Source organism: Homo sapiens, chromosome 21, assembly GCF_000001405.40.
Source record: "Homo sapiens chromosome 21, GRCh38.p14 Primary Assembly".
In the NCBI taxonomy this organism is placed as follows: domain Eukaryota; kingdom Metazoa; phylum Chordata; class Mammalia; order Primates; family Hominidae; genus Homo; species Homo sapiens.
This window is the reverse complement of record NC_000021.9, coordinates 22,059,176-22,084,729: the sequence shown is the minus strand read 5'-3', so window position 1 is coordinate 22,084,729 and position 25,554 is coordinate 22,059,176. Positions and strand designations below refer to the sequence as shown.

The 25,554-nt window shown below is 33.3% G+C and overlaps 1 long non-coding RNA gene across 1 annotated transcript in view, besides 1 other annotated feature; it reads left to right on the top strand.

Moving 5' to 3' along the window:
- Nucleotides 1-25,554, top strand: part of LINC01687 (long intergenic non-protein coding RNA 1687) — an 89,302-nt gene that overhangs the window by 13,730 nt on the left and 50,018 nt on the right. The window lies entirely within an intron of this gene.
- Nucleotides 7,830-8,430: an enhancer, noted in NCBI's record as "OCT4-NANOG hESC enhancer chr21:23448619-23449219 (GRCh37/hg19 assembly coordinates)". NCBI's record gives its function as "activates a minimal SCP1, AML or CMV promoter by ChIP-STARR-seq in primed H9 embryonic stem cells {active_cell/tissue: H9 hESC(primed)}" and the evidence as "EXISTENCE:reporter gene assay evidence [ECO:0000049][PMID:30033119]".

Below are 25,554 nucleotides of genomic sequence, written 5' to 3'. Positions count from 1 at the left end.
TCACAGTGGGTCTGGTCTCTTTTCAGGCACTTGTTAACAGTCACTCCACAATCCTGTGGGCTGCTGACCATCCCTCTTCCCATGCCTTGCATCTGTTTGCTGTTTAATAGTCTATAGATCTCTCAGCCTGTGAAATCTCATTTGTACATCCCTCCTATCATCCTCCAAATCAATTTAAAAATCTACAATATCCAAGGTGGCTCACATTTTAGTCCAAGCATAACTTTGCAGCCCAACTTCCTTCAATCACTACTTATATATCCTTTACTCTCAGTTTTCCAGAACACCCTTGACTAATTTTTTAAAAATAATTTCAACTTTTATTTTATATACAGGGGGTACATGTACAGGTTTGTTACACGAGTACACTGAGTAATGCATCCATGCTGGCCCCTTTGCACGAGGATTCACACTGAAAGTAGAGTTCCGGGAGGAGGAGGAGACAAAGAGCACGTTACTTCCTGGAATGTAAACTGTACCAGTAGGTTTATAATGGCTTTTGGGGAAAACCTCAGCAAAATGTAGGCAGTGATTATACAGTAAACCACCATATCAGAAATGTGAAATTGAGAAAAAATATACATCTTAGAAAAGAGGAAGTAAGATATACTCTATTTGACTGGTGACGTCCTGGTAAAACGATGCATCTTGCATGAATGAAGAACTGCATTTTCAGGTATAACACTCATATGATAACCAAGGAAACCAGTGCTTGGAGATTTCAGCCCAACATCTTCATCTCTTTGCCATGAGTAAAATATTTTGAAGGCATTCTTAGTCATCTTTGATGATATGCAATCACATATAAGGAATATAGCCTCCTTGGCTTTTTGGCATTTTAAATGTAAGTTTCCATGTCTTAATTACTGAATTATTAAAAACCGAAACTTACTTCAGCGTGGAGTATGAGTAAAGTGGTAAGAATAGGTTAGCAGTTCTACTATTTTAGTGATATGAAGGAGAAACATAAAAATAAATCAAACTGATTTCAGTACTCTTTTAAAAATATTGTTTTTAAAAAGTTTGTCCTTACAAGTTTTTAGGTACATTTTGGCTTTTGTTTTCCTAAATATAAGTAAACATAATTATACATGTAGTTGATTGGTAATGAACAGTTTTTTGTTAATGAAGAAAAACAATATCACATGTACCTCAGCTCTCAATTCCTAGTTCTTTCTAATTGTTATTAGAGTATTCTAACTTCTAATATCTTTAAGATGGAAAGTCTTATGTATCTAATTCATTTTAATTTTATTTAGTTTACTGAATAAGTTGTAATTTTTCTCAATTTTATATTACAGTTGTACAACTGTTACAATAATAATCTATACCATTTAATGACTCCTAATATATGTGCACAACTTTATATCCAGTTAGAATCTGTCTTATAAGTTACCATTGAGTTTTATTGCAATTCTGAAACTTTGTAATATTTTACAGAATTTCAGAGGTGTGGAGGCTAAGTTACCAAGTAAGTAAATAGCAGAGCTAGCCTCTGAACTTATTCTGTGAAAATTGCTGAGCTATTGTTATTCTAAGGAATATTTTGTTACAAAATTTATTTATAGTTATTTACAAAATTTATTTATAAAGTTATTTATAGATAAAGGTTACAAAAATTATTTATAGAGAAAAGACCCAAATAAGGGGGTAATTTGGGACTGAGATTCAGCCCACACGCTGCATATCTATGTGCTATGGCTCCCAGCAGGTTACTTCTGCTCATATAGGTGACCTTTCTGATTTGTAATCAAACAGCTTAGGAATGGGCTAGTGGCAGCCCACTGCAATATACATGTTATTACTGGTGATCTTCTTATGCTGCTCTACGTAAAGAAAACTCTAAGCAGCTGCCCTGTATTATTAAGTGTAATCTACTACCCCCACTCCTATTAATGAAAATTGAGAATCTTTGAATAAAAAAAATCCAGCCTTGACAAATGGTCATGTTGAAGGAATTAAAATAGCAACCTTTTAAATGCTTGTGAGTCCTTTAATTAATGTGAAGCATGGTGAAGGCAAATATTCAAAGATGATTGTGGAGATAGGATTTACACCTAAAGAATCATGTAGTAGCTACATTGAGGCATGGATCCCATTTTCATTTAAATTTATTTTATTCATTGAAAACCTAAATTCAGAAATGATAGCTAGAGAAAATATGTAGGTCATTACAAATCTTAATTCATTTTCTTAAATTATTTTTGCCTGCATTTTTTTACTTCTCTTGGATTAATGCCACATACTGAATGCTTATATATTTATTTTTCCTCTTGAGTAAGCACATGAATATGAGTAAATCAGTTTTCCATAGGGTGTTGTGAACCTTATTCCCATTAATAATAACTATATCTATTAAGTGCTTTAAAAAATACGTTGATTTTTGTAATCTCAAATGAGATTTATTTATTTTTTTGGAAAACAAGACAAAATATTCTTATTTATAATATCTTGTGCTAAGTAAGAAACCAACATACCATTTTTTAAACCACATAGCATAACAAATGCTCTGGTCATTTTGCTACGCTGATAAGAAAATTGGTTTGGCTCAGTTAAAATGGGGAAAAAGCTGAAAGCCACTGATGTATGTCAATGTGCTTAAAGTGGCTGGACATTTTGACCATAAAACATTGATTTGCACAGACTTACTGAAACCACCTTTGCAAAAATTATAACAGTGAGAAAATTATAACAGTGAAACAGATCTGTTCTAACCAACTCCAACTTGCCTTAACCTCCAAACTGCCCTTGGTCATTCCTGTGTGTAGGTCAAACTAACTTTGGGAGATATTTAGTTTACAGTTTAGATGATAATAACCCTTTCCAAAACTAAATCATTTTTGTAAAACTAATTATGAAAGACCACCAGGTTAGGAAGATGAGAGGGTCCTGAAATCCGCTAAGAGTATAGTTGAATGATTAGCAGCCATTATTCTGGAGGTCACAAAATTTGTAACTCCTCCAATTGTTCCTGCAAATAACATCACTATTATACAATCTAAGATTGCCCTTTTGAGATGCCTTTTCAGGCTTTTGCATTTCTGATGACCAAATTGCTCCACCTGGACCAGTGACTCCTCTGTGGCCTGCACACACAGGCCAACTCAGCGAATCAGGACCATGTTGCACAGACCTGTGATTGTATCCCCAACCAATCAGCAGCTCCCATTCCCTAGCCCCGTGTCCACCAAAGTACCCTTGAAAAATTGTAGCCTCCAAATTTTGAGGGAGGCTTAATTGTGTAAAAACAAAACTCTGGTCTCCCATTTAGCTGGCTCTACCTGTATTAAACTCTTTCTCTATTGCAATTCCCCTGTCTTTATAAATTGGCTGTATCTGAACAGTGGGCAAGATGAACCCTTTGGGTGGTTTAATTGTTAGTGATGGCTCATTCATAAATATTTTTTAGATATTGTTCTGAATATAAAAGACCAAAATTAAATGATATGATTAGTAATATTGAAAGGCACAATATCAAAGAGAAAATGTGTACTTTTAGTGTAGTGATCATCGGATCAATCATTTGAATCAGATATTCTCCAAAAAATGGTTCTGATCAAAAGAGATCAAAGGCGAAGCCATTCTTGGAATAACTTTACTGATCTGGAAAAGACTTTTCAAGATAATTTGCTCTAACCCAATCATTTCATCAACACTGATGTAGAACTCAGGCTCAGATAAAGCAATAGATGCTTAGGATTAAAAGGCAAAGATGATCACTGTAAAATCTCAGGGGATTTTCCATGGCATGTGCTTTCCCTAAGACATCAATGAGACCCTAATGATAAGTTCATTGATGATGAACTTACTTAAAATCATGCCAAAGAGAATTTATTAGAACTGGAGTTAAACTGTATATTCACTTATATTATTTGAACAAGGAAAAATTAAGTTTGTAAAACATCCTCCACATTACAATTATTAAAACAAGTCTTTTATTTTACTTAAGTAGCCAATAAAAGTGGCCAAAATATAAATTAGACCAAAATGGAATTTCTTCTTCAATTAATTGATAGGAAGTCACCTTTTTAGCCTTATGACTATTCATGCTTATTTTATTTTGTCAGTGTGACTTTAGTTTGATCTCAAAGCCATGGACTCTGTTCAAAATATCCATAATGAGCTGTATCCATTTTTACAAAAGAAGTATAAATTGGCAGAGAATAAGCTGTTAAAGCTATCTGAAATTTACACATAAAGCCAACCTCATGTTTTCTTTTCTGCCTCTCTGTAGGCTTCTGTATAAGGATGAAGGGACCACCTATGATTTTTAAATATACTTTTCTTGCAGTAAAAACATTGTTAATGTTCATGACGGTTAATTACTCTTGTGGGAAATATGTTTACTGATAATTTACAAATATTTACACATTAATATGTTTTCCACATCATTACACAAATGGTGAATTTAAAAAGTCCAATGGGGCTGTGCTTCATCACACCATGGTGACCTCATGGTGGTCACACTAATTATATAACAGGTCAGGACTCTGAAGTTCAGTGACCAAAGAAAAGCAGATGGAAGTGGAATGTTTTAACCGCAGAAATCACAAAATACCAATTCTGTTATACTCTGTTGATCAGGGCATGTGTAAGCCCTCCCAGATTCAAGTGGTCAGGAAACAGACCCCACCTTTTAACAAGAACCCACCTTTTAATTGCTTGCAAGTAATTTAAAAACTGTTTTAAAACTGCCCTGAGAAGGTGGTTATTTACCTACAAATTTCCACCCAAAAACTAATTTCTTCTAAAACTTCAAAAATACATCCGGTTATTGAAAGCTCAAATTTCCGAGTCTATTGCTTAACAAAAAACAAGTGCATATCAGAGAGCAGGAAGGAATTGTGTCAAAAACTGGAGGTAAAATCAAGCAGATTTTGTGGGCCTAAGGAGTAGGGAATAGTTCAATGTAAAAGTGGAACCGATTCTGACAAATGAAGTTGTATCATTCAGTGACAAGATCATGAAGCTTTTTGTGTGCCATAGTACTTTTTATGGCTTCTCTTTACTTGTATTTTTCTTATTTTGGATGTCATATAATTTCTTCAATTTATTTATTTATTTATTTATTTTTTTTTTTTGAGACAGAGTCTTGCTCTGTTGCCAGGCTGGAGTGCAGTGGCACAATATCCACTTGCTGCAACCTCCGCCTTCCAGGTCAAGCGATTCTCCTGCTTCAGCCTCCCAAGTAGCTGGGCCTATAGGCACTCCCACCACTCCCAGCTAATTTTTGTATTTTTAATAGAGATAGGTTTTCACCATGTTTGCCAGGATGGTATCCATCTCTTGACCTCGTGATCTGCCCGCCTCGGCCTCCCAAAGTGCTGGGATTACAAGCATGTGCCACCACACCCCGCCAATTTCCTCAAATTTTAAAGGTGTCAGTGGAGAAAAGTATATGTCTATGATTCCAAATATTCCTGCCAAATAATTGCCAGGAATTATCTTTCTTGGTAATTTACTACTGGGTTACCTGACTTTAAAATGAATCTAGTTATGCACAGTTTGTGACTATCATCTATCACAGCATTACTTTTTCCAGGTTCTCTTTTGTATTATTTCTATTTGCATCAAAAATAACTTTGTTTTAAAAGATATTTATTATGTGATCATAGTCATGTCTTCATTTTCCTATACACAAAATAAAACCATTTAAAAATCATCTCATAACTTTTCCTCTGTTGAGATTTTCTACATGACTCTTATTCTTTAGAACTCGCCTTATATGTCACTCAATCTGGAAATCCATTATTGCCTTTCCCAATTTGGGATTATTGCCTTTATTCTGGGTTTTTACAGCAATCTAAGCATATTTTACTGCCAAGCAAAAGTCACACAATTTAACATTAAACAATAACTATTTAAACATTAAACAATAACTGTCCCTTTGGAATTCTTTTGAAAAGAATCAATAAACAGACCTATAATGTAGCAGGTGGTTATATGACTTACACCAATGGAGAGTCTGACTGTGATATGGAAAGATCCTTTCTACTGGAAATCCCAAGGAACCGGTTACCTTAACAACAGGCAATTTAAAATAACATAAGCCACCCTAAAATGCCCTTTAGCGTTTATAAAAAGTTTGTGATAGCTATTTAGGAAACACAAATACTATATGACATACCATTTTAAAAGATTTGAAAATTTGCTCCTTGCTTTTTGTCTCATGTATTCCAATTGACATTTCTGGTTTGTCAAAAAATATATAATTATTTAATAAAAACATTTAGCAGTAATATTAATACTCATTTAAGCCTATGCATCATTTTGCTTTCTCTAGAGTGCTTTCTCATGCTTCAATTAATGATTTTTCTGTGTTGTTGGCAGATGTATATATATATATATATATATATATGTATATATATTAATGTGTTCATTTAACAGATAAAGTATCAGAACCTTAGATAGGTTAAGTGACTGTCAGGATTGCCCAGTGAGTAGTGGAAAAGAAAGAAGAACGTATTTGGAATGATATACCCATACTTTTCTCCACTGGCACCTTTAAAATCTGAGAAGATTAACTTGAACCCGGGAGATGGTTGTTGCAGTGAGCTAAGATCACGCCATTGCACACTCCAGCCTGGGCAACAAGAGCAAAACTCTGTCTCAAAAACAACAACAACAAAAACAGCAACAACAAAAAACTGAGATGATTAAATGAAGTTCAAAATAGAAAAAATGCAAATAAAGATAAGACATAAAAAGTACTATGGCACACAAAAAACTTCATGATCAGGTCAGCGAATGCTGCCACCTCATTTATCAGATTGTGTTCCGCTTACACTGAACAATGTCCCATTCCTTAGACCCACAAAGTCTGCTTTATTTTACATCTAGTTTTTGGCACAAATCTTTCCCGCTCTCTAATGTGCACTTTTCCTCTGTTAAGATTTTCTACATGGCGTTTACTCTTTAGAACTCACTGTACATGTCACTCAATCTGGAAACCCATTATCACTTTTCTGAATTTGGGATCATGGGTTTTTATAGCAATTTGAGCATATCTTTATTTTACTGCCAAGCCAAAGTCACACTACTGGAAATCTCGCTAACTTGCTGGGGCTCTTCACTAATCTGCTAGCAATTTGACAGCACTGTCTGTCTTTAGAAAAGCATTTGTTTATGAATTTCCTAGTTTTACTTAACACATAGTACCTAGCCCACAGCTTATTCAGAATGACAAAGTCATTGAAAATTAAGAAGAAATTGATATGTATTGGTGTCTTTATTTGTACACTAACTTTAATTGTAAACAGCCTGAAAGTTAAGTTACAAAAATACCTTACTGCCTTGCTTTTTTCCTAAAAGCCTTATATTAACCAATGATGTGACAGTTCAATAAATACTTGGTGAGTGTTATCAAATTGTACATGTGGAATTCCAATTGTTTTCCTCTTTATCATTGTAGAAAATTTTAGATTCTTAAAATTTGTGATCCTAGATTATAAAAATAATAAAAACGAAAAAGGAACATCTAGATAAATTTGAATTTGAGATAATTTATAATTTTATATAGTTATTTCATGTTTAATTAGTGTATACTTCCTAAGGTGTAGTTTTTCTTTCTTCATTATAAAACATTTATTTATTTATATTTCAAGCCCTTTTCTTTTAGCAACATGTGATTTGGTCTTGTCTTTTTTATTCTATCTGACAATCTGCCTTTTAAGTGAGATATTTATACTCTTTATGATATGGTTAGTTTAATTCTGTCATCTTTCTATTTTAAAAATTGGTACTATCTGGCATTTCTTCCAGTTTTCCTCATTAAAAAAATCTTACTTGAATCAATTATTTCTATTTTATTCATTTATTTGTTTATTTATTTTTAGTAGGAGAAAAAGCATACAAATGTATTTAACGTGCATACACGGGAGCCTTCAGAATGAACACTCAACTTCCTACTGTTACAGAAATTTATAATCATATTGAGATTACAGAAAGAATGAGGGTTTAGGCTCTGATAAAACATGTTTTGGAAAGGGGAGAAGAAGCTTAGCTAGCAACTTTGTTACGGCCTTTGTAGGCAGCTTTGTTATGTGAATAAAGACTTGCTTAGAAAGAATAGATGGTCAGTGTTTCTTTTCAGCCTTTTAAAACTGGCAGACTCTCAATTGCTCTTGGATTGGAGAAAGGTATAGAAAGTGGAGGTGGCATGGCTGTCTTAACAGAGATTCTCTACAGATGCAAATGTTCCCCACTTAAGATAAGGCTACTTCTGTCTGGTAGCCAAATGTAAACCGTTTTTAAATATGTCAAAGAAATATATTTTGAGGTAAAATATTTTAATTTCCTTCAGCCCCGACTTTGAAACTTAAAATAAGTTTCACATATTAAAAACCTAGCTGACAGTGCTAGCAGAAAGGGGTCAAGATGTTGTAGGACTTTTTCTTAGTTTAGCTAAAGACAGAATCCTTGTCATAGGACCATGAAAAATTAGGCTTGCAGGCAATTTGAAGGGTGAGAAAAATGAATTTCTTGGGCAAAAAGGAAAAATAAAAAGGAAACAGGGACTCTCAAGCAGAGCGAGAGTTCTGCTAATATAGGTTTCCCACCACACAAATTGAATCTCAGGTTCCACCCAGGAAGATGAGGGGCCAGCTTCCACCCCAGTGTTCATTGCAACTAGCTTGCAGAGCAGTCAGAGGTTCTCTGGGAACCCTTTATAATTGGCTGTCTCACTGATCCAGACCCCAAGAGACGGTTCTTGGACCTCACTCAGGAAAGAAATCAGGGCAAGTCCATAGAGTAAAGTGAAAGCAAATTTATTAGAGAAGTAAAGAAACAAAAAAATGGCTACTACATAGGCAGAGTTATTTCTTGATTATATGTTAAACAAGAGTCTTCTGGGGAAGGGGCAGAGATTTCCTGGAACTGAGGGCTCCTCTCCTCTTCAGACTACATAGGGTGACTTCCAAACATTGCCATGGCATTTGTAAACTGTCATGGTGCTGGTGGGAATGTCTGTTAATGTATTATAATTAGCATATAATGAGCCACTGCTCATTGAGTGTTACTGGAAAGGGGTCCCTATCTAGACCCCAGGAGAGGTTTCTTGAACCTCGTGCAAGAAAGAAAGAATTCAGGGCAAGTCCATAGACTAATGTGAAAGCAAGTTCATTAAGAAAGTAAAGAAACAAAAGAATGGCTACTCCATAGGCAGAACAGTGACATGGGCTGCTCCACTGATTGTACTTATAATTACTTCTTGATTACATGCTAAACAAAGGGTGGATTATTCATGAGTTTTCTGGGAAAAGGATGGAATATTCCTGGAATTGATGGATCCTCCCCTTTCTAGAACATATAGGGTAACTTCTTGATGTTGCCATGGCATTGTAAACTGTAATGGCACTGGTGGGAGTGTCCTTTAGCATGTTAATGCATTATAATTGACATATAAAGAGCAGTGAGGATGACCAGAGGTCACTATTGTTGCCATCTTGGTTTTGGTGGGTTTCTGCCAGTTCTTTTAACACATCCTTTTATCAGCAAGGCCTTTGTAATCTGTACCTTGTGCCAACCTTCTATTTCATCCTGTGATTTAGAATGGCTAACCTCCTGGAAATGAAGCCTAATAGGTCTCAGCCTTATTTTACCCAGCCCCTATTCAAGACGGAGTCACTCTGGTTTGACCGCCTCTGACAAAAGCTTTGGAGAGTTTTGGGTTAGAGGTTGTTAGACAGAGATAGACAAAGGAGTGGATAAGACAGAGATAGACAAACTAGGATAAGTAGAAAGGAACAAATTTAAATATATGTTTCTCTCTTGCTTTATTAGCTATAACTCTTTATTTTGTTATTTCAGTGCTTGTTTTAGGGTTTATGACATGCTTATAACTTGTCATGGTCTGCCTTTAATTGACACTAAACCATTTCACATAGAAAATAAGTCCTTTAATTTCTTCTCTTCTGGCCTTTTTATGCCTTCATTATCTTACATTTTACTTATGTATCAATGTATGTTATTTACTCCACATTATATTCTTACTATTATTGCTTTTAAAACAGCTAATTAAAACAACTAATTATATTTTAAAGAGATTTGATGAATAAGAAAATAACATGTATATGGTTATATAAACATATATATCCATGTGGTTACCATTTTCAGGGTTCTACATTTTTAGAATATATCCATATTTTTATGGGTAAAAATTTTGTTTTTTTCCATACTTAGTTCAGGATGTCCCATAGGCAGCCAAGTAGGCAGGTAACAGAAACAGGTTATGACTAAATTTATTGCTTTAGCTGTAGCAGGGCTAGTCTCTTCTGTATAATCAGCATAGAACACATCACTTAAGATCTTTGAATTAATTTTAAAAAATAAACTATGTGAAGAACCAGACACATATATGCTAAAGAAATAATTATAGACATAATAATTAACATCATGTACATATTAATAAACCAATCTTTATATTTATGAACATTGAAATTGCCTTTGCAAAAATTATAACAATGAGAAAATTATGACAGTGAAATTGATCTGATCAGACCAAATCCCATCTTTCCTTTAACCTCCAAACAGCCCTTTGTCATTCCTGACCTTGGGCCAAGCTAACTTTAGGAGAAGTCTAGTTTATAGTTTAAATGATAACAGCCTTTCCCCCAAACTAAACCATCTTTGTAAAATGAAAGGAAGTCCACCAGGTCTAGAGAAGAGCCTGAATTCTGCTAAGGAGTAGATGTAAACAATTACCAGACCTTATTCCTGGAGGTCACAAGATTAGGCAACTTTCTCAATTTCTCCTGCAGATAACATCACTATTGTAGAACCTAAGATTAGCCTTTTGAGATGTCTTCTCAGGCTTTCGCATTTCTGAAGACTGATAACCCTATCTAAAACCCACAACTTTTGACTCAACCAGCCCTGTGGCCCCTACCCAGAAGTAGAATCAGCACACAAGGACCCTTTTCCACTCCCCTATGGTTGCATTTTCCCACCAATAAGCAGCGCCAATTCCCTAGCCTCCTGCCACAAAACTTTTCATGAAAAACCCTAGCCTCCAAATTTTGGGAGAGGCAGATTTGAGTAACAATAAAGCTCTGTTCTCCAATTTAGCCAGCTCTAGGTGTGTAAAACTCTTTCTCTATTCCAATTCCCCTGGCTTGATAAATTAGCTTTATCTGGGCAGTGGGCGAAGTGAACTCATTGGATGTTTCAGTGTGAAAATGATGTGTTAATTCCATCAAAATGTTTCTGTAAGAATGAACAGAAAAAAAGAAATGTAATTTCAAATGGTTCCTCACAGGCTAAAATATGAAGATAGACATGGAGTTGCCACATGTGATAACTGATGCAGAAAGTGACCAAACCTTCACAAAAACCTTCAAAGATGGGTTTAATAAGTCTTAGAATTATATTCTTTTACACATTTAATATAATTAAATTAACTGTAAAATATATGTATGTAATTATCTGTTTCATCTTCATAAATTTATTTCTTTGATTTTTTTGTAATAGGTATATCTACTGAATAATACACATTTTGGTTGTTACAGTTGAAAATTTGGGGAGTATAAGTGGACATGTGGTAAAATATACATGAAAGAAAAGTAGGAAATGTAAGCAGCTTTCAGAAACTTTTAAAAAATTACTTAATTTTAACTCAATATTCATATTTTCTATTATTGACTTACATTCAAATCCATGTCTTTATAAAAAGAAAATTCTGCTCTTGTAAACAATTATGCATTTTACTTTAAACTCTGGGTAGACAAGTTACAACACAATGCAGATAAATTTTTTAACATAATGTTGAGTAAAATAAGACGCAAAAAAAGGATAGAGTGTGATTCCTGCCGTATAAAGTTTAAACACAGGCAAAACTATCTTATGCTGTGAGAAGTTAAGATAATTTCTAACCCTAGAGCTAGGAGAGGTAAGTACTGGAAAGGAACAGCAAAGGAACTTTGGGGGCCCTTGTAATGTTCCGTCTCTTGATTTGTATGCTGGAAAAGAGAGCTTAATTTATGAAAACATATTCCTGATAACATGCAAACTTTTCCAAATATATATTACACATCAGTAAAGTTTAAAACATTCTTAATCGAAATACTGAGACGCCTTTTTAGGATGTAAAAATGTTGCTTTCTCTTTACCATCCGTCCACCAATTGCTCTTTCTATCATAACTTATTCCTATTATATTCATGATTGTTATCTCCTTTTGGCAATCTAAGGTGCATCTCCAACTTGCACTGAAAACAAAATAAGGCAAAGCAAAAAAATTTTAAATTCTCCCTAAAAACAAAAACCTACAAGCCGTTTTTCTTTTACTCCTAAAGCTAATTTACCAATACCTTAATAATGTCAGCAAAAAAATACATGGTAAATCTATCCACTACTTTTCATTTCTCCTGCTTTAATCTGAAATTAAGCGTGTGTCAGGAAAACTGTTGTAATAATCTCTTAATATTTATCCCTTTTTAAATTTTATTGCTCTAAAGTCCCCTCTTTATACAGCGACCAGCATGAGCTGGTTCTGATTGTGTTACTCTGTTGTCTAAAACGTGTTGATGGCATTTCTTTATACCTGGCATAAAATGCAAATTTGGATTAAACACTGCATGCTCTGCCCTATCTACCAGTATAAGAGCACCATGGAAAGTGGCAATCTAGTTTCTGCTTTAGTGTTTTAGTTGTAAATATAAATCTGCAGAATGCATAGCTTTTCATTGCGTCTTTTCTTTTTACCCTGAAGATGTTCATGACAGCTTGTTCAACTGCTAATTAAAAGTATCCACTATGACTCTATCACCTCTCTCTATTTTAATTTTCTGTCAGTCTTAAGATTTGTTTGTTTAGTATTGTCTCAGTTCACCAGAATGGACAACTTGTAAAAGAGCTGTGACTTTGTCTCATTCCTATTATAGGTATAATTTCAAAAAAAGATACATAAAATCTGATAGGTGCTTAGCATTTTTTCAATGAAAGAGAGAATAATTAAAAGAAGTTATAAACGTACTTCATACTCAATTAACCTTTATTTAATTTTTACTTTTGTTATTTGAAATGTACCTATAGATCACTTTGATATTAAATTTCATTTTTACATTAAACATGAATATTATTCTCTCATGTAAACTACTAGAAAATCTATATAAATCATGATAACATTTTTCCCTACAGTCTTTATTAGCTTCTTAAATATAAAGCAAATTTATCACTTTCAAAGATAAGACCTAATTATAAAATTAAAAGAAAAAAGTAACATTAAAAATTTAAAAATGTGTCACTTTCATCTTCATTATAGCCTCTAGTATTGTCAATTTGATTAAAGGGTAATACCAGCTCGGAGATTAAAAATAAAAAGGCAAGAATGATTTTGATGAGATCATTTCTAATTAGTTTTAAGATAAAATCAGTCTTTTACTACTGCATGTTTAGCCTTGGCTGGGAGGTGAATGTCATCCATTTTGCATTACCTATAACTGCATTATAAATAAACCCTAGACTTAAAAAACGTTTTTTTCCAGCAAAAAGTTGAAATCTTTGTTTGTTTTTTAGCTGTTTAAGTATACTAGGAATAATTACATTAGAATTATTTAGTGTATCCATGTGCGATTTCAGATTTCTAGTTCGGTGAAATCAATTGTTTTTACATGGGTGACAAATTTATCTTTGTTTCATTAATCAATATATCTTACAAAAAAGAATGCATATTGTGTGCTTTCAACCTGAGGAGAGCAACACTATTACCTTTTCATTTTGCATAATAACTGACCTGGAATATAAAAAAATACAGAAAATTAATTTTCTAATTTTCAATACCTATAAATAAACACTTCTGCAACTATAAATGTGTACAGTATTAACATATGAATGTTAAAACATGGAGAATAAATTCATGACATTATCAAAATAGTTTTCAAATTAATAAGAAACTCAGTAAAATGTCAATCATGAAAAATGGCTTATAGCTTCTTGCTATATGATTATAATTATTTTTAAAATATTGAATATGCTTCATTAAATTTAAGAAATATGTTTAAGCCAATTTACCCTTTTATTTTTGCTTTTGTATACTATTCTCTTAGCAATGTTAAATATCAGTTAATAATTGATGTATTAACCTTATAATAAAAAAATCAGTGTGAAAGACTCTGCATTCAATCAAATGCCGAGGATATTTTAGCAAGTATAGCATTATAAGGTTGTTCAGATATTACTCACTTTGATGTTAAGGGTGGTTAGGTCTTCCTAATCATTTTATATAAAGGGATAAACTATTTTTTAAAAAATAATTATTGATTTTAATAGAAACATATAGATATATTTTCATTAAAAAGTGAACAAATATTAACCTTAGTTGTGGTCATTTTACCATATATAAAAATATTAATAGTGAATATACTTATATCATCCACACAGCTAATATAGAATTTTTTTATTCAAGCCACACTTTCATGCAACCAATACTATTGCTAATTTACCTCAAATCCTCTCAGCCCATGCCTGAATTTACCTGCAGATGTAATCGATATTTTGAAGTACTTTGAAGCTTTGACAATTGATAGGAACTTGTTTCACAAAGCTGTGTTGTGGTGAGAAACCCCAAATGGTTAACATTTACTTTTTCGTAGGCCCAATGGAGAGGAGGTTAAATTCTATTTTAGTAAAATAGATAATCCAATATACAATCATTGTCCATCTAACTTTAGGATTGGTAATCACAATCATTATGACTGATAAAGACACTTGTCATGGAATGCTAGTATAAAACACTGTCTTCTAATAACTGTTTATGGTAGGAAGAGACTACACATTTCAAAATGATTGCTATATACTTCAGGAACTGCATTTACTGAATTTTAAGTTTTCAGTAGAATTTAAACAGGTTACAAATCAAATAGTAAAGATCGCAGGAGGGTTCCTCAGAGTCACTCAGTGAAAAATACTCGACTTGAACCCTGTTCTCACTCCTTTCTCAAACCCCCTTATTTCTAATGGAGTAAATATTGATACAGTAAAAAGAACCCTGATTACTTCACAGGCTTTGTTCATCTCTGCACATTTCCTAAGGCTCATCCCAGTTTCTGGTCTAGAGTAAACATTTATCAAACAAAAAAATTAATGACTAAATAAATGAATCGATGATTCCATGAATACTGATATGAGAAAGTATTGCTCTTTCATTATTACAAGGAAATAATCAAAAATATCTGAGCATAAGTCTATTAGCGTCTAAGATTGTACAATAGGTATGTGTGGGAAAAGAAATCCCGAAAATGGAACAGGTTACAAAAAACCAGGATCCATTTAGTGGATCCTTGATTACCAACTTTCCTAGACCTTTTTGAAAATATAAAACTTACAGATCCTGTTAAACATTTAACTATTTAATTCAATAATGGAAAGTATATTCTCTACTGATACTTTGTGTGTTATAAGAAGATACCATTTTATTTCATTCTGATATTTACAGAGCACTGTTTTGTTTTATTTTTTATCCTCACTAAAATCCCTCTGTGTCTGTTGTTAAGTCTATCTGAAAAATGAGAACACATGGACAAGGGGAGGGGAACATCACACACTGGGGCCTGTCGGGGGGTGGGGGGCAAGTGGAGGGATAGCGTTAGGAGAAATACCAAATATAGATGACAGGTTGATAGGTGCAGCAAACCACCATGTCACGTGTATACCTGTGTAACAAGCCTGCATGTTCTGCATGTGTATCCCAGAACTTAAAGTATAATAAATAAATAAATAAATGAAAGTAAGCTTTAAGGAACAAAAAATAGACAAATGAAACATAAATGTAAGTCTTTTGTTTCAACCGATTATTTTCTACCCATGCCACATTTATATGAAACTAGTGAGTTCTCTTTTACTTTCCAGTGGAGCCTCACTACATAATGAAGTATGCATTTAATTCCTATTCTTGATTTACAAGTTGTCTGTTGTCTCATCTTTGACCAGAAAGACCAAGTGGAACATGTGAAAAGCATGCTTGCTGTACAGATTGGTCTAGCAATTCTTCATGTCTTAGTGTCAATACTAAAGAAAGATGCTGCCAACATTAAGATCTGAGCATTGCTGATAAGATAACCTAATAATAAAGTGTGAATTAAAGTTTTGCAGACCCCTAAAAATAAAATAAAGGGAGTTTCAGTAATCACAATCAAGCTTTCTTACAAAACATGACACACTCTTCCAAATATTTTAGGCTCTTTAGAAGCAAGGACTAAAATTATTATGAAACATAATTTGTCTCAAAGACGTTCTAATATTTTCCTTTTTTTCTTTTTTCTTTTTTTTGAGACAGGGTCTCACTCTGTTGCCAGACTGGAGTGCAGTGGCACCATCTCAGCTCACTGCAACCTCCGCCTCCTGGGTTCAAGTGATTCTCCTGCCTCAGCCTCCCAAGTAGCAGGGACTACAAGCACGTGCCACCATGTCTGGCTAATTTTTTGTATTTTTAGTAGAGATGGGGTTTCACCATGTTAGCCAGGATGGTCTTGATCTCCTGACCTCGTGATCCACTCACCTTGGCCTCCCAAAGTGCTGGGATTACAGGCGTGATCCACCATGCCCGGCCCTCTGATATTTTCTTCTGCTTCCTATACAAACAAGCCAAGTGAGAGTTAAGGAAAAAAAGACCATCAGAAAACAGAATAAAATACTGTGATAGGCACATGTAATTGATAATATTTCTTATTTAAAATAGTGAAAAAGTATAACATGATAACACAATCTAGCTTTGAATATATGAACACCTTTATAATATGATGTTCCAAACCAGAAAAAAAAATTTCTTAGGTGTGCATGACTTTAAAAAAGTTAGAGAAAATTTTTGTTAAGAAGTATTGGAAATGTTTAAAAATCACATTCTGATGCTTACCTCTTGATTCTTTGAAAAACTAACATCTGAATACAGTTAACGTATTTGATTTTGAGAAGTTGTGAAATACTTTTTCTCTGGCCTTAAGAGGTAATTTACAATATGGCATTGGTATAATGTGAGACTGCAGATTGTTGATTTAGAATCTTGCTGCATCATCATTAGATTTTAGACGGTAGTTTTTTTTTTCATGTTACATAGCAACCTTTTTAATCTACTTTAAAAAATATCTGGGAAGTTAATAAAAAGGTGCCAACCTTCTAAGATTTCTATCCATAAACTATTTTCAATAGTTTTACTTTAATATTTGTTAAATACAAGGTAATTCAGAAAATATATGTAAAATACTTCTAATTCCAATTAAAGCTTGGTTACCTAAATTAAAAACTTTTGGGAAAACCATTAAAAAGTTGATAAGAGCATTTAAACAAATTTTATTAGCATTTGGAAAAAGACATTACCACCATAGAACATGCATTTTTTTCTTCATGTTTAATATATTCATTAAGAAATCAAATGAGTAAACAGAATAAAAAGTTCACGGAGATAGAAAATAAATGAGAAACAAATTAGTGTTAGTTCTAATTTTTCAACAAATTAGAAGAATGTTGAGTTATGTAGAGAAAATAATTCAGAAAGTATTTATTTAGTATTCAGAGGTAATCAAGATACTTCATTGCTCATTGTTTAGCAACATGGAATAGGTTAGGAGGTGGAGAGAAACAGAGCCATAGATCACTAAACCCCAGGGTTTAGAATGACAATTACCATAAATGAAGAAAAAAGTGAAGTGAATATACAAAAGAGAAATTATATCTGTTTAGTAAATCAACAAAGCTTCAAAAAAAGAGGCTTGTCTAAGGTAGTTCTTGAAAGATTAATTGCTGTTTCATGGGTGTATTGTGTAGGAAGAGGATTTTCGATGATGTGAATGGCAGGAATAAGTGTTTGCTAATTTGGAGCATTTTAGGCCATCTCAAGTAGTTCATGTTGACTCTAGCTTTTGGGTCACCTAGAAGGGTCCACTGTGAACCAAGGCAAGTGAAATATTTTGGGGTAGACCATGACTGCCTTTAAAGCCAGCATTAATGTATTCATTTTTCAATCAGCAGGATAAATGGAATAAAAGCTTTCTTTGTCATCTGGAAATATTTTTGTATTAAGCTCTCTAGAGGGGGCTGCCCAGATGAGTCCTAATCACATTGTATATTCCTTTTTTTCTCTACAATTTTATAGAGTTAAATTTCCACGATTTACATTGAAATTAAGAGAAATCTAGCATTATTTTTCGAGAACCTGGTAAGTCCCTATATCAAGCTGATTGTTAAAACTGCTTAAAAATGCTTTTCTTTGGTTGGTTCTTGACTGCTCCACATAACTATTTCAGACCTCTATACTGTTCAAAATACACTCACACTCCCTTCTCCTTCAAGTGGCTAATGACTATACAACCACTTTACTGTGAAGTCTGATTTCATCTTATAGAAGTTTTTTTTTCAATTTTTCTTTCTTCTCATTTAATTTTTTTGAATTCCCACCAGTTATATTCTCTTCTACATGTATAGTGGAATTGTTTCATCCATACTCCTCAAGAATCGCATGTTATCTACATACTGTTCCTATGTCCTTCTTAACCCAATTTCATGTTTTGTGCATCTCGTGTTATTCAATTTGCAATTATTCTTTCTTGGAATAATATTATTAATTCAAAAACTTAACTGGCATAAATACTTTCATTTAAACTAGGTTTTATTCTCTTTCTAGATTTTCTCTTTAATTATTTCATAAAACTTGTTTATGTCTCCACTAATACTATCTCAAAACGCTGTGCTGAAAGTAACCAATGATCTTCTAATTACTCATCCAATAGTCTTTTGCAGTGATCATCCAGTCTAATTTTTGTCTATGTCTATTGTCAATGACTTTTTAAATAAATGCACTCTTTGGTTGACTTTTAGGACATCACATTTCACCTGTTCTCCAACAGGATTCTTTATTTCTACAACATAATTTTGACAACATGAGTCTTTCTTGATAACTGTGACAAGTTAAAGTCAAGGGGTGACATGGAAGCCCAAGAGAGTAGACTATTCAGTACTATACAAATATTTTACAAATGCCTTCCTCTTTCAGGAAGTCTCCTGTTTTGCCTTCTTAATGTTCTCATGAAACAGTTTAGTGCACCAATTAAAGGTTGAGTAGGCATGAAATTCAGGCAAAAATGGTGCAAATTTCTGTTTCATCATTTATTCACTGGATGGGCAACCTTGTCCTTTAGAGCAACATGAACTCATAAGGCTGTTGTGATGTTTCAGCCATAAATGCTTATGAAGTTAAAAGTATTAGTGATTTTTATAAATTAATCTGTCAAATCTTCTGCTTTTCATTGAAACCCCATTTGCATTCATATAATCCATTTGCATAACTCCCTACATCTAATAATGACAAGCATCCCCAAAACTTTCCCTGGTGCATTTTCTTTATCTTCTTCTCTGTTCAAGATGATTGTTCAACCAGCAGATACTTTTTAAAATCCTATTTCAATTTTCTTTCTTACTTAATTGTAAACCTGTGAAAGTACAGTTAGTTACGTTGTTTTGATACATTTTTAACTTTATTAATCAAAACCTTGAGGGTGATTATGTGGATTAAAAATTGAACCTTACAACAAATGTGAACACAGCTTCAAAGAGCTTTCACATTGAGACAAAGCAAAGCAAGAATCATTAATTCTGGAAAGTACCAAATCATCTTAATTACCTTATTTAGTATTTATTCATGTCCTAACTCAAAAAATTGTGCAACATAGTCCAAATTATTTAACATGATTGTATTAATCAAAATAGGGATAAACCTCAATCTTTAATTTCAAAGATCTGTAACAAGACTTCAAATCAGGCATGAGACATAGTCAGAGAATAAAGTCTATTTGAATGATTAGAGAAAGCTTCCTGAAAGGCAGTTCATGGAGAAATATCCTTGTAAATAAGTAACATGCTTTTTTTTTCTATCAATTCATCTTCCAAAGTTGTAAAAAACACCTTATTTTTTTTTAGTAGGGAATAAATAAGAGCAATATATGTTGCCTTTCAGAATAAAGAAATCTTCTCTAGGTTTAGCATGTCAGTGGTTTTTAGATTTTCTGTTTTCTAAACACTAATTTTGCAGTAGCCGTGTGTTGATAAAGCCCTTTTATCTATTTGGCTCTTTTTCCTATATACAGTTTTTTTCAATTACAAAAAGAATGAGCTGGAATAAGTCACCATGTAATCCATGGCTATGAATGGACACAAGGATTTTAGATTTTAATTGAATTTAATGTTGAGAGCCAAGACAGAATAAATGAGAAAATCAATTAAAAATTACAAATGGACCAGTACAAGGACCAGTACATAGTTTAGTACAGGATTGAGCTCTATATTTAGATAATTTTGTAAGTGAACGGATACTGACAAAATTTCTAGTGCCATCTTATTTTCCAAATCAGAACACTGAAACAACCAAAGGATTAAATAACTCATCAAATGTCATGCATTTGATTTAAAAAATTGGAACTAGTAATTATATCACCTGATTTATCCATGGTATTTCAGTATTATGTACCACGATTCAATGCTGTCAACCCCGGTAAACTGAGAAGTTCCATTTATGTTGACTGAGTTACAAAACCTTGGAAAGGAGCTGTGTTTTAAAATCTATGGGGAGATTTTTTTTTTCCAAAAAGTTTATTTTTAATCTCTTCACATTCTTCCTGAACCCTAATGAACAATTTTGTTGAACTACAGTTGGGTTATTTTAAGTAAATCAAATTAGTTATTTTCTCGTGAATTGACAGACTTAGAAACTGCTATGGTTTGAATGTCTGTTCCAATATTCATATTGAAATTGAATTGCCATTGTAACAATATTAAAAAGCAGAACCTTTAACCAGTAATTAGGTCATGAGGACTCCATCCTTGTAAATGGGTTAATGCTGTTATTGTTAGAGTGGGTTCTTAGTGAGAAAACAGACTAAGAAAAGAATGGGTGACCCAATATTGGCTGATAAAATGTGAGAGAAATTCAATTACTGTAGTCATGGGAATTTGGAGAAAGGTTTCCTTGCTCTTGAAATATAAAATATAAATTTCATATATTTTTGTAATTTTGTGCATGAAGATATAATATCTGTTGTTGCTGCATATATCTTGTAACCTCAAGGAGAGCTAAATAACATGATGACGGCAGAAGAGAAACAGAAATTACTTTGGTCTTTGATGGTAGCACTGAGCCACTAAATTAAATCTGGAGCTTCATTATCTTAGAACCATATTTAAAGTGAGAGAATAAATGTTTCTTTCTGGTAAAGCCACTTTCATTGGGTTTTCTGTTATAAGTAAAAAAATATCAACTGATCAGATTAATAAAATCCACAAAGGAAGGTAAGTGCAGGACATTGCAACGATCAAAAAAATTCAAAGGATAAAACCACCAGGATGTGAAGAGAAACCAGGGTAATTACAGTAACCTGTGAAGGAGGAAGTACTAAGCAATTTCATAAGAATGTTACCAAGGAAAGTGAATATATTATTTTCTGTTTGTGATTTTGCTGAAGATATAAACGCCAGAAAGGGAGCATTTGATTGCCCTAACTTCTATTATGTGTCTACCCCTTGGCTACAAGGAGTAAAGATCTTCTGATTTACAGTCCCTTGAGACACTATCTAATAGAACAGAGGTAGTTTCTAAAAAAAAAAGGAAAGAAAGAAAAAAAAGAAAAGAAAGGAAAGAAAAGAAAATACAAATAAGAAATGAATATATTGTTAAAGATTTGGGGTTGGATAATGTTGAACAAAAGTTAAAAATTAACAAATGTCCACAATAACAAAAGTTAAAAATTAACAAATGTCCACAATAATTGTGAGAATTTTACAGACATTTGTTATGTCCATAACAGTGCATGAGAAACTGTTCTAAGTACTGGAATTTTACTAGGGAGTCAGCAGTTCTGCTAATCCTCATGGAGCTTAGAATTAGGAAGGCAGACAATAAAATGTAATAAGTTCCTTAATAGAATACAAGTAGATTACAAAGGTAAAGTATAATGGTGGCTTTTGAATTGGTGCAATTTAAAAGGAAATTTCTCTGACATGGTAACATTTAACTGTGAACCCAAAGGGTAAACAAATCAGCATTGCCAAGACCTGTGGAAATTTTCCAGGCAGAAGAAAAGGCATAGGTAACAACTCTGACCAGGATAGCTGTCAGTGTTTTAGAAAGTCAAAGAAGGCTGCTGGGCTTAAAATGTCATGAGACCAAGAGACAGTGGAGCAATGCATGTTTGAAAAGGTACAAAGGGCTCAGATCAAACATAGCTTCTAGATCATAGTGAGGAGGTTGGAGTTTATTTGAAATCAATGGAAAGTTTAAAGATTTTTCTTTACCATAGTGGCATGGCCCAGTTAATGTTTTAAGGATATCTATACATGACATATACAACAGATATGAAGGACCAGGAATAAAATTAAGAAGATATGTAAAGATGCTGTTTGATCTCTAACAGGGGGAATGTGGTTTCATTTTTGGAGGCTTAGACAGGACCAGTTTTGGAACTGGTTTGAGAGTTTGATTTGAGAGTGCTAAATTTAAGATAGCTGTAAGATGTCCAAATGTCAATATGTAAATATCCAGTATTTACATATAATTTAAAGGCATGGAAATGTATTAATTACTAAAGGGAAAGAGAAAAGAAGCTCAGAAGGAATTCCAATATTCAGATGTGACATATAGAAGAAAGTGTCGACATGAAAGAATTATCCGCCAGAGAATTCAGAGGAAAATCAAGAATGCATTATATCATGAAAGTAAAGAAAGGATAATGACCCAAAAAAGAGGTAGGAGAAACTCTTCTTCCTAATATTTAGCTGAATTTTTGCTCCCTGTTCTGATTCATGGCTTTTGCCACATTGTGGAACATCAGTAACAAAAAGTGACTTTTAGCTCCTTCTTGGCCTTTAAATAGCATGAAAACTTAAAATAGTCGGTGTATATAGTACTAGACTTTGCAGTTTATTTTTGTAAAACTTCAACAATATTTTGTGGTTAATTCCTGTGCTGTAGTAACCTAGTTCAAAAGGTTGAATGATATGCAGTTTTCTAGAACAGTTTTCAGTAATCAGCAACTAAAATTAACTGTCTGGTATTTGTTAAAATGTCTAGTATTTCTGAGCTAAGCTACCTGTAGTGTACTGATAGGAAGGATAAAGAGATGTGAACTGGATTTTAAGTTCAATTGAACTGGTATCAGGAACAGTCTAACTAAAATGAGAATATTACACATTATCCCAATACTTCATAAGCATCTTTTGCTTCATCATCCAAGCAGATTTGTTGTTTTCATTCTAAATTAATAATCCATTTATCAATTTCCCAAGTCTATATTTCTTTTTCCTTATTCATATGAAGGTATTAAAATTCTGTTAGAGCTTACTGTGAAAGATAACAAAAGTAGATTTGGGTTGCAAGTTTGCTTTTTTTTTTCTGTTATTCACATTTAAAATAATATAGTTATATTTGGGTAAATAAGGCGCATTCATAATATGTTTTGTGACATCGTATCTTCTTTTTTTCATGTTGGATGATACATAATAGTTATACATATTTATGTGGTACATGTGATAATCTAATATATGTATACGATGTATAATGATCAATTCAGGGTATTTAGCAAATTCATCACCGCAAGCGTTTATCTTTTCTTTCTGTTGGGAGCGTTTCAAATTTCCTGCTCCAGCTATTTTGATCTGTGCAGCAAACCACCATGGCACATGTTTACTTATATAGCAAAACTGCACAACCTACGTGGATACCCCTGAACTTAAAAGTTAAAGAAAAATAAATAAATAAAACAAAATAAATTATTGTTAACTATAGTCACCCTACTGTGCCATTGAACACTAGAATTTATTCCTTCGAACTATGATTACATCCATTAGCCAACCCCTATCTTATTTATTTATTTATTTAATTATTTATTGTTTTATGATACTTTAAGTTCTGGGGTATATGTGCAGAACGTGCAGGTTTGTTACATAGGTATACACGTGCCATGGTGGTTTGATGCACCCATCAACCCATCATCTGCATTAGGTGTTTCTCCTAATGCTATCCCTCCCCTTGCCTCCCACCCTCTGACAGGCCCTGGTGTGTGATGTTCCCCTCCCTGTGTCCATGTGTTCTCATTGTTCAACTCCTACTTATGAGTGAGAACATGCGATGTTTGGTTTCCTGTTCTCGTGATACTTTGCTGAGAATGATGGTTTCCAGCTTCATCCATGTCCCTGCAAAGGACATGAACTCATCCTTTTTTATGGCTGCATAGTATTCCATGGTGTATATGTGCTACATTTTCTTTATCCAGTCTATCATTGATGGGCGTTTGGGTTGATTCCAAGTCTTTGCTATTGTGAACAGTGCCACAATAAACATACATGTGCATGTGTCTTCATAGGAGAATGATTTATAATCCTTTGGATATATAACCAGTAATGGGATTGCAGGGTCAAATGGTATTTCTGGTTCTAGAAACTTGAGGAATTGCCACACTGATTTCCACAATGGTTGAACTAATTTATACTCCCACCAACAGTGTAAAAACATTCCTATTTCTCCTCATCCTCTCCAGCATCTGTTGTTTCCTGACTTTTTAATGATTGCCATTCTAACTGGCGTGAGATGGTATCTCATTGTGGTTTTGATTTGCATTTCTCTAATGACCAGTGATGGTGAGCTTTTTTTCATATGTTTGTTGGGTGCGTAAATGTCTTCTTTTGAGAAGTGTCTGTGCATATCCTTCGCCCACTTTTTGATGGAAACAAACCCCTATCTTCTATACTTCCCAGACTCTGGTAAACATCATTCTACTCTCTGCCTATATGAGGTCAACTATTTTGGTTCCCACATAAGATTAAGAATATGCGAAGTTTGTCTTTCTTTACCTCACTTATTTCATTTAGCATAAGGACTTCCAGTTTCATCTATGTTGCTGCAAATAACAGAATTTCATGCTTTTCTGTGACTGAATAATATTACATTATGTATATATACCACATTTTCTTAACTGAGGGACACCTAGGTTGATTCTATATTTTGACCAGTGTGAACAGTGCTGCCATAAACATAAGATACAGTTATCTGTTTGTTATGCGGATTTCCTTTCCTTTGGATCACTACCCAATAGTGGAATTTCTATATCATATTGTAGTTCTATTTTTAGTTTTTGAGAAACCTCCACACTGTTTTCCAAATGACTGTACAAGTTTACATTCCCATCAATAATATATAACAGTTTCCCTTTCTCCTCATCATTGCTAGCATTTGTTATTTTTTTGTGTTTTTGATATAACCATTCTAACTGGTGTGTTATATTGTGTTTGTTTTCATTTTCATTTCCGTGCTGAGTATTGATATTAAGTTTTTTTATATTCCTATTGTCAATTTGTATATTTTCATTTGAGAAATTCTATTCAGATCTTTTGTCCACTTTTTAATGCAATATCTGTTTTTTTTCTCTTGAGTTGTCTTGAGTTCTTACATATTCTGAATATTAGTACCTTTATACAGATATTTGTTATGTTTCCATATATGCAAATAAATAGTTTACAAATATGTTCTATGATTCTACAGGTTATCTCTTCACTTTGTTAATTGTTTTCTGTGCTACGCAGA